Source organism: Homo sapiens, chromosome 6 (assembly GCF_000001405.40).
Source record: "Homo sapiens chromosome 6, GRCh38.p14 Primary Assembly".
NCBI classification, from domain to species: Eukaryota; Metazoa; Chordata; class Mammalia; order Primates; family Hominidae; genus Homo; species Homo sapiens.
In genome coordinates this window covers 47,443,687-47,454,296 of record NC_000006.12, presented here as the reverse complement: position 1 = coordinate 47,454,296, position 10,610 = coordinate 47,443,687, and the positions used below count along the sequence as shown (strand labels likewise).

Below are 10,610 nucleotides of genomic sequence, written 5' to 3'. Positions count from 1 at the left end.
CAGAGGGTGTGGTGGCCCATGCCTGTAATCCCTGCTACTTGGGAGGCTGAGGCAGGAGAATAGCTTGAACCCAGGAGGTGGAGGTTGCAGTGAGCCAAGATTGTACTACTGCACTCCAACCTGGGCGATAGAGTGAGACCCTATCTCAAACAAACAAACAAACAATAAAACCAAACCTAAATCATGAGAAGAATAAAAGCAATCCAAACAAAAATAGTACCAGGATTTTGACTATGCTTAATTTATTAAAAAAAAAAAAAAAAAAAAAAACTTCAAAGGTTCTAAAGGTTTTTCTAACACAGAAGTATACAGATTTTTCACTTTCACTTAAATATGTATTCAGCTAGGTGCAGTGGCTCACGCCTGTAATCCCAACACTTTGGGAGGCTGAGGCAGGGGGATTACTTGAACCCGGAAGTTCAAGACCAGCCTGGGCAACATAGTGAGACCGTATCTCTAGAAAAAAATACAAGCATTAGCTGGGTGTGGTAGCACACTTCTGTAGTCCCAGCTACTCAGGAGGCTGAAGTGGGAGGATCACTTGGACCTGGGAGGTCGAGGCTGCAGCAAGCTGTAATGCTGCCACTGTACTCCAGCCTGGGCCACAGAGCAAGACCCTGTCTCAAAAAAAAAAAAAAGAGTACTCAACAGTGTGGCTCCACAGAAAACTTGGAAAACTTCAGAAGTCACAGGTTTGACATTTTACAAGCCAGCTGTAAAACTGCTATTGATTTTATTGATTTGAGTCACAACATATGGAAGGGTGTCCAGAAAGTGATGTGTCCATGTGAAAGAAGACTTCTGTAGCAATTTAGATAAACTGTAGCACTAATTGCTCCTCCCATCCTCAGGAAGAAAATGATACTTTCTATAGGTTCCTTGCATCATGGTATCCCAAAACACCATGGCATAATATCCAGAATGAGGGCAGTCTTACTATCTGTCCAACTCTGTCACTAACTGGTAAGTCAAATGATAACATCCCATACGCAAACCACCAACTTTGACAGCACAGCTTATCATTTGCTATCATATATATCAATTTGAAATTTTGAAGGTTCAACAGTAAATGGGCCTAAGAGGTAACTTTTAAGATAAAATTATTCAGCAACTTGCAATGCATAAATATATCACAAATTCTATCTCAGTCATTCATTCAATAAATATTTACTCAGTGAGTATTTATTTGTCATGTGTTACATGCCAGGCACAGTTTGAGGCTCTGGGAAGATTTCTCTGCTCTCATTATACTCATAGCATGTTTTTTAAAAACAACACTTAAATTTGACAATCTCTACTCATAATTTAGCTTGCCAAGATTTCGAAGAAAGAATTCATTCACGAAGCATGCTTCAGAATGTATGAAATGAGAATATCTCAATGTAACTTTTTCCACTTTCTAGAACAAAATGTTAATGTAAATGGGATACAGTGGTTTGAAGCTGTCAAGAAGTTTAAAGTGGCTAACCGTGGTAAAATTCCCACTTCACCAAATGATGAATATGAATTTTCTATATAGAGGAGCAGCACAGTCTATGTTCTCATAAAACATGTCTTAAGCACTTAAAATGTGGAAGCTGCTTTGAAAATGTAATTATCTATTACTGGTGATGGAAGAGTATGAATATAAAAACTGCGGCATTCAAATCTGGACAGAAGTGCACATGGGCTACTCCCAGGTGCAAGAATGTATGAAACAGCACAGAAGTCTTGAGACCTGTAAGCAGTAGGTAATGAAAGAAATAGCAGGGCTAAATACTGGATAGGGCAAGCCTCTGCTAAGGAGGCTAAAGATAAAACTGGAAAAGGGGATACTAGTATTGACTTACTGACACAAGGAGCTAATTTTCAGATTTTTTCTCTCCCAATACTTCGAATTCTCCTCACTTTAGCCTCTCTGGATTGATCAGAGATAAGAGTGAATGTTTTCTTCATTCTAGTCATGAAACTGTTTACCTGGATGGTCAGTCCTCTGTATCTGTGGCTTCTGCATCTGTGGATTCAACCAACTGTGAATTGAAAATATTAGGGAAGGCTGGGCACCGTGGCTCATGCTTATAATCCCAGCACTTTGGGAGGCCAAGGCGGGTGTATCACCTGAGGTCGGGAGTTTGAGACAAGCCTAGACAACATGGTGAAACCCTTTCTCTACTAAAAACACAAAAATTAGCTGGACATGGTGGCAGGAGCCTGTAATCCCAGCTACTTAGGAGGCTGAGGCAGAAGAATCACTTGAACCTGGGAGGCAGAGATTGCAGTGAGCCAAGACTGCGCCATTACACTCAAGCCTGGGCAACAAGAGCGAAACTCCATCTCAAAAACAAAAAAAAAAAAAAGAAAAGAAAACATTAGGGAAAAATAATTCTGCAAAGTTCCAAAAAGCAAAGCTTGAATTTGCCATGCTCTGAGGACTCTGTTGACTCCACATAAATGAAGTGATGTGTAGGCATTGTATTAGGTAATACACTTAATAGAGATGATTTATACAGGAGGATGTGCACAGATTATATGCAATTACTACATCATTTAATACAAAGGACTTGAGTTTTGGTGTCCTCTGGGGTGGGGTGGGGTGGAAGGGTGAGTTCCAGAACCAGTCTCCCACAGATACCAACAGATGACTGTACTATTTCTACCAATTATGCATATAGCCTCAATCTTTGAGGAAAGATAATTATTTCAAATTCTGTAATCTATGTTTAAATTTGAAGAAGCCTCAGCTTCTCTGTGTAAAAGGAAGAGGTTGGTAACATCACATACAACAGAGACTGTAAGTAACAGAAAACTTGGCCCTAACTGGCCTAAATAACTCAGAAGACTCATTGGATCACATAATGGCCCAAATGGGTCTTATTCCAATGCCCAGTCCCATCGTATTAGTTTGCTAGTGCTGCCGTCATAATAAAGTACCACAGATTGGTGACTTAAACAACAGAAGGTTGTTTTCCCACAGTGCTGTAAGGTAAAAGATGGATATCAAAGTGTGAACAGGGCTGGTTTCTTCTGAGGCCTCTCTCCTTGACTTGTAAATGGCCATCTTGCCATCTTCTCCTCCCTGTGCCCTCACATGGTCTTCCCTCAGAGTTTATCTGAGTCCTAATCTCTTTTTCTCATAAGGACACCAGTGATATTTGAATAGGACCCACCCAGATGACCTCATTTTAACCTAAAAACCTATTTAAAGACCCTCTCCCCAAATATGGTCACATTCTGAGATTCTAGGGGTCAGGACATTAACAAATGAATTTTGGGAGGACCCAATTCAGCCTATAATAGCCACCCTAATGACACAGACTTGGCTGTGCTAATTAACTTAGACTTGGGTTTCTGAGTCAATGAGATAACCTCCACTGCTAAGTCAGGTCCATCCCCAAAGTACATTGGCAGCATCAGGGAGGACTGGGTGAAAATGAGGCTGGCAGAGGGAATCAGCAGCTGGCAACAACTACCATAGGAGGGCTGGCCTAAGCGATTGCTAAGATTACTTCTACCTCTAAAATGCAATGATTCAAAATTCCAACTATTTTTTCTCACAATGTACTAAATGTTAACTCAAAACAAAGCAACAGGTGGAATTTTGATAACAGTAAATCAGAGATAGGGGATTTTACAAGTTGTATTGCCAGAGAAGCCAGCGGGGAAGGATGACATTCTATGAGAGGCATAGCTCCATTATCTCTTTATAGTGGTAATGGAAAACAAGAGCATGAGCTCCAGGCAAGTATGAATTAAGGAAAGAAGGAATCATTTGGCTGAATGTAGGGAGGGAGAAACATGGTTCAGCATGTCCTACATTTCATACCATTGAATACAGTAAGGGTTCTGTAAATGTCAAAGGGTATTGGCAAAGACAGTTGATGAAAAAGTTCTTCAGCTTTTGACTCAATCTTTGATTGTGTTAGGTTAAACCAGGAGGAATTCATATTTTATAGGTTAAAATGATTAAATATTGGCAAATTCATGGTTTACCCTGGTAAAGACCCTTCTTAGTAAGCTTTAAAGATATGTATTCTAAAATAAAGCAGCAAAGATAAAAGGTTTATAAAAGGAAATATCTCAGAACTCAAATTCCATTTCAGCCTGATGGCTACAATAGACTTTATTTATGATACAATACCAAATTATGACAATGACAATCTTGGCTGATTTAGAAAAAGCTTAATTATATTTTACATGATCTGTTGTCTATGTCTGAGGACTATATATAATAAATATAAAAGCATTCAGCAAACTAATAAAAATTGTAACATTTGTTAGTTTTAATTATCTTAAACATCTTTCCTATTTGTAGAAAGTAACTGAATTTCCAACTATAGATGGGAAAATATGATTTTCTGAGTTTTACATGAATAGTAGATAAATGACTTGTCTCCCAATTTCACTCTCTCTACCTTCTCTAGCTTCTAACTGCATTGGCACTGAAATCTCAAGACTGATTTGATGCGTCATTTGTTTTGTTTGGACCTCAAGTTAGAATTTTTAAAAAATATTTTTAGGTATAAATTAAAAGGCCTATATAGGCCTTAATGGAAAAGAAAAATTGGCACCAGACTAGAAGAATCCCATAATATTCTTACTATATTATATTTGATTTAGCCTTTAGTCTCATGTTCTTTCCCCCAAGTATGTGAAGAGTTTCCATATATATATATATATATATTTTTTTTTTTTTTTTTTTTTTTTGAGATGGAGTCCCTCTCTGTCACCCAGGCTGGAGTGCAGTGGCACAGTCTCGGCTCACTGCAACCCCCAGGGTTCAAGTGATTCTCCTGCCCCAGCCTCCCGGGTGGCTGGGACTGCAAGCATGCGCTGCCATGCTCAGCTAATTTTTGTATTTTTAGTAGAGATGAGGTTTCACCATGTTGGCCAGGCCGGTCCCAAACTCCTGACCTCAAGTGATCTGCCCACTTTGGCCTCCCAAAGTACTGGCATTACAGGTGTAAGCCACTGTACTGGGCCTAAAACACAATTTTTTATTAGACCCTTTTATTAGAATTTTCTTCTTCACTCTACTAAAATTATTATTATTATTTTGAGATGGAGTTTCACTCTTGTTGCCTAGGCTGGAGTGCAATGGTGCGATCTCGGCTCACCGCAACCTCCGCCTCCTGGGTTCAAGCGATTCTCCTGCCTCAGCCTCCCGAATAGCTGGGATTACAGGCATGTGCCACCATGCCTGGCTAATTTTGTATTTTTAGCAAAGATAGGGTTTCTCCATGTTGGTCAGACTGGTCTCAAACTCCCAACCTCAGGTGATCCGCTCTCCTCAGCCTCCTAAAGTGTTGGGATTACAGGCGTGAGCCACCATGCCCAGCAATTATTTTACTTTAAGAGAAATTTTGTGTTTCAAAAGTTTCTCTTTATTACTTCATCTCTCTCCCTTTAAAGTTATATTTTGGCTGGGCATGGTGGCTCATGTCTGTAATCCCAACACTTTGGGAGGCTGAGGCAGGAGGATTGCTTGAGGCCAGGTGTTCAAGACTAGCCTGGGCAACATAGTGAGACCCTGTCTCTATAAACAGTTTATTAAAAATAAATAAATAAATAAAATAAACTTATATTTGATGTTTGTAGGCTTTACATTGATATTTCTTAGTCAGTTTAGACTGCTACAGATTACCATACATTGGGTGGCTTAAACAATAATTTCTCACAGTTGTAGAGGCTGAGTTCAGGGTGGTATTGTGGTTGAGTTCTTGGTGAGGGCCCTTTTCCTGGTTTACAGAGGGTCATCTTCTTGCTATGCCTTCACATGGCAGACAGAGAGGTAACTAACTTTCTGGTTTCTTCTTATAAGGGCACTAATGCCATTTATAAGGGCTCTACCTTTATGATCTAATTACCTCTCAAAGGCCCCACCTCAAGCACATCAGGATCTCTGTTTCAGTATATAAATTTGGGGAGAACACAAACATTCAGCCCATTTCATAAGGAAAAATAGGCTCCCAAGAATATTTCCCATAAATTTCTAACAAGAAAAACATCACTCATGGCTACCATATGGAAAAGTTATTGAGAAGACCCTCGGTACATTTTTAAATTTAGATTGCTTTGCTTATTTCACATGTTTATTAAGAAAAATATAATTCTATCTGCATACAATCTGAGAAACTTAAACTAGATTTTTGCAGTAGAGCAAGGGTTGCTAATCAGAGTTTTTGGTGGAATAGTACAATATTCAATTAAAAAATAAGATAATTGTTTCTGTTTTGAGACATTAAAGAAACATCATTTTTCTCATTTTCTTTTCCCCAAGGTGATCTCTAAAAAAAATTTCTATTATTTAATTACTAAGTTTGTTGAAGTTTAATTACTCATGTGGCTATTATTGGCAGAGGCAAAGTGCAAAAGTCATCCTTTTTCCTCCACATAGACACAAATGTTGGCCTGCACTACAGATCACCATGGGAGCTGTTTATTTTGCAATTAAGTAAGAGTAAGGCAAATGTCTCAAGTTATTACTTAGTGTCCCTCCCATCATCTTCCCCCCTACACCTCTTTAAAGATTATTAAAATCAATACCGAAAGGGATTTGGGTAAAATAAAATTATGGGCTTAAATAAATTAGTTGAAACTTAACAGAGATCAGAAGAATTATGTGCATTTAGATTTATGTATAAAATAGACATGTTATCTGGAAGTAGATTGCTCTAAAAAACTTGGAGATTTTAGATAGTTACAAACTTAATATAAGCAAAGTATAATATGGCTATCTTGTATTGCAAAATAGAAGTATTGTGATGAGATTGTACTAAGTAATATTCTCAGCGTTCTGTGAACTGGTCAGGTCACACTTGAGTTGTCTTAATGTTCAGATTTTTGAGAACAATGCGGATAAAATGATGTTGATGAGCAGACTAAAAAACTGTCCTGTAAGAAACAATAGATGGAATTAGAGATATTAAGGCTAGGAGAAGACTAAGGGAGAAAAAAATCACTAACATTCAGTTAGCATCTCTTTTGTATCAGGAATTGTAAGTTACCTTCTAGAACCTTACTTAATTCTCAAAATAATAGTATGCTATAAGGATTATTATCTCTTACTAACCAATGCCTCTTTGTGATTAAGCAACGTGTCAGAAGATTCATCAGCCAGCACAAGTTGTGACTCCAGCTCCCACGTGTCTGAGATCAAAGCCTGTACTTTTCTTACCACACCATAGGTCACTGTCAACTACTTTAGGTTCTACAAGAAATTATGTGTCAAGAATTGTTTCATTCAACCCTTTGTTCAACACTATTTTGAGCAAGTATAGTATACAAGTCACTGTGCCAAGATTCTGTTCAAAGTGAGTTTCTGGGTTCTTAGAGGAAATAAAAATATGTGCCTGAATAAATGTAATGCAATATGGAAAGCAAAATTAACATGAGAATTAATGTGCTTCCGGGAGGAAATACTGCTGCTGAAGAAGAAATGTGACATTTGAGCTGGGCTTTGGAAAATAGAGTGATTTGGATGTGCTGAAATGTGACAGGGAGAGCATCCCAGGCAGAAAGAACAGCATGCTTGTGGGAAAATGAAATGCATGTCTAGGAAATACCAAATAGTTTAGTGCAGCTCTAGCATATAGTATGAGAAAGTTAATGAGGAATATGTTGGATAAATGGATTGACCTAGATGAGGGAGGGTCAGAAATGCCAGGCTAATGAATTCTGTGATGTTCTCTAGGCAATGGGGAGTCACAATTGATATCTCAAAAGTAGGGCAATGATCATGGCCCCAGATAGCTTTTTTTGTGTGTAAAGAACATACTGTGTAGGGCAGAGAATAAGGTGGGAGAATGTTGAAGGCTTTTATGGTTCCAAGAGAGAGCTAACGACAGTCTGGGTTATAGTACTGTCCAGCCTTCTTCTATTCCTCTTTTTTTAAATTTAAATTAATTTTTTTTTAGAGACAGGTTTCTCTCTGTCACCCAGGCTGAAGTGCAATGGTGTGATCATGGCTTACTGCAGCCTCCACCTCATAGGCTCAAGTGATCCTCCCACCTCAGCCTCCCAAGTAGATGGGACTACAAGCGTGCATCAAAACACCTGGCTAACGTTTAAATTTTTTGTAGAGATGGGGGTCTCCCTTTGTTGCCCAGACTGGTCTCAAACATCTGGGCTTATGTGATCCTCCTGCCCCAGCCTCCCAAAGTGTAGTGATTACATGTGTGAGGCCCCTGTACCTGGCCTTCTATTCCTTTTTAAGGCCACTCAATCCTTATATACACCACCCAACTGCTGGCCTACCAAATGGGGTCTTGACCTACCCCACTTTGCCTTTTCTGAACCTCCTCTGCCTTCATCTGCATTCAATAATCAAGATTCTTGGCTCTCTGGCTTCTGCCTTTAAATGGGCCCATGTATCTGACTTTCATCCTTACTTTTCTGGTATTTGGTCACCTGTTTTCTCCCATGCATTCTGCTTTGATTCACTTTCCGATCCTTGAATTATTCCATCATCTCAGGTAGGCTGATGATGCCTCAGCCTCTGCCTTAGTCCTGTAGAACACACTTCCACATGTAGCAGTCAGGATTCATGGTTGCAAGCAGAAACTATTCTATAATAACTAATTTAAGCAGAAAAATAAGGTGAATTTAATAAGGATATTTGGTACCTCATTGAATCTGCAAGGGGTCTGGAGAGTAAGGTCCAGAGGCTCTGCGGCCAGCATCCATGCCCATGTCACACTCTGAGGGCTGCTCAAGGCGAGAGGGTGCTACAGCTCCTGCATGGTACAGACACCACAGCCTCCACCAATAACTCTGGAGACCCAACACCAGAAATTTCACCACCGGTGCCTGGCAGAGCTGGTGCCTCTCTTGTCATTCTTATGAAATGGTAGATGACAAGGGCTCCTGCTTCCTAGGGTTGTTCAGTTCTGAAGTGAAAACTTTATGATCATGTCTGATTGGCAAAGCCTAAGAGGATGCAGAGATGAATTGATATGGTTTGGCTCTGTCCCCACCCAAATCTCACTTTGAATTGTTGCTCCAACAATTCCCATGTGTCATGGGAGGAACTCAATGGGAAGTAATTGAATCATGGGGGTAGGTCTTTCCCATGCTGTTCTCATGATAGTGAGTAAGTCTCATGAGATCTGATGGTTTTATAAGGGCAAGTTTCCCTGCACAAACTCTTTTCTTGCCTGCCGCCATGTAAGATGGTCCCTTGCTCTTCCGCCATGATTGTGAGGCCTCCCCAGCCATGTGGAACTGTGAGTCAATTACACCTTTTTCCTTTATAAATTATCCAGTCTCAGGTATGTCTTTATGAGCAGCATGAAAACGGACTAATATATGGATGTATCACAAAGCTAATGAATCTTAAGCCTCAGGGCCCTGTACTTATGCAGACCCTTTCCAAGGCCCTGGGAGAGCCCTAGGAATAAATGTCTGTCCTATGTTTTTGTAAAATTTGCAGTAGAAATATTGTACCTGCAATTCTGACTTCTGTCAACCTCACTAAATTTACACAATATTATCAATCATCAGTTGTGAAGCTTAAAGACACTTTTCTAAACTGTCAATCAAAAAATCAATTGACCAGATAGGACAAAGGAGACTAAAGTACTTTTTTTCTTTTTATAAAAAAAAAATTGGTCTCCCTCTCCCTTTCCCTCTCCCTCTCCCTCTCCCCCCACTTTCCACGGTCTCCCTCTGATGCCGCTCCCTCATCTCGCACTTTCCACGGTCTCCCTCTGATGCCGAGTCGAGGCTGGACTGTACTGCCGCCATCTGGGCTCACTGCAACCTCCCTGCCTGATTCTCCTGCCTCAGCCTGCCCAGTGCCTGGGATTGCAGGCGCGTGCCGCCACGCCTGACCGGTTTTTGTATTTTTTGGTGGAGACGCGGTTTTGCCGTGTTGGCCAGGCTGGTCTCCAGCTCCTGACCGCGAGTGATCTGCCCGCCTGGGCCTCCCGAGGTGCCAGGATTGCAGACGGAGTCTCGCTCACTCAGTGCTCAATGTTGCCCAGGCCGCCCATCGTCTGAGATGTGGGGAGCTCCTCTGCCCCGCCGCCCTGTCTGGGATGTGAGAAGCGCCTCTGCCCGGCCGCGACCCCGTCTGGGATCTGAGGAGTGTCTCTGCCCGACCGCCACCCCATCTGGGAGGTGAGGAGCGTCTCTGCCCGGCCGCCCCGTCTGAGAAGTGAGGAGCCCCTCCGCCTGGCAGCCGCCCCATCTGGGAAGTGAGGAGCGTCTTGCCGGGCAGCCGCCCCGTCCGGGAGGTGGAGGGCAGCACCCCCCCCCCAGCCAGCCGCCCGTCCGGGAGGGAGGTGGGGGGCAACCCCTGCCCGGCCAGCCACCCAGTCCGGGAGGGAGGTGGGGGGCAGCCCCCGCCCGGCCGCTGCCCCGTCCAGGAGGTGGGGGGCGCCTCTGCCTGGCCATCCCGTCTGGGAAGTGAGGAGCCCCTCTGCCCGGCCGCCACCCTGTCTGGGAGGTGTACCCAACAGCTCATTGAGAAAGGGCCATGATGACGATGACGGTTTTGTCGAATAGAAAAGGGGGAAATGTGGGGAAAAGAAAGAGAGATCAGATTGTTACTGTGTCTCTGTAGAAAGAAGTAGACATAGGAGACTCCATTTTGTTCTGTACTAAGAAAAATTCTGTCTTGGGATGCTGTTAAT

At 41.8% G+C, this 10,610-nt stretch overlaps 3 annotated features.

Annotated features, from left to right (window-relative positions):
- Positions 798-998: a silencer, noted in NCBI's record as "peak5833 fragment used in MPRA reporter construct". NCBI's record gives its function as "represses an SCP1 promoter by STARR-seq MPRAs in K562 erythroleukemia cells {active_cell/tissue: K562}" and the evidence as "EXISTENCE:reporter gene assay evidence [ECO:0000049][PMID:32103011]".
- Positions 7,010-7,304: a silencer, noted in NCBI's record as "tiled region #15024; HepG2 Repressive non-DNase unmatched - State 24:Quies". NCBI's record gives its function as "represses a minimal TATA promoter and a strong SV40 promoter by Sharpr-MPRA in HepG2 cells {active_cell/tissue: HepG2}" and the evidence as "EXISTENCE:reporter gene assay evidence [ECO:0000049][PMID:27701403]".
- Positions 9,549-10,282: an enhancer, noted in NCBI's record as "H3K27ac hESC enhancer chr6:47411751-47412484 (GRCh37/hg19 assembly coordinates)". NCBI's record gives its function as "activates a minimal SCP1, AML or CMV promoter by ChIP-STARR-seq in primed H9 embryonic stem cells {active_cell/tissue: H9 hESC(primed)}" and the evidence as "EXISTENCE:reporter gene assay evidence [ECO:0000049][PMID:30033119]".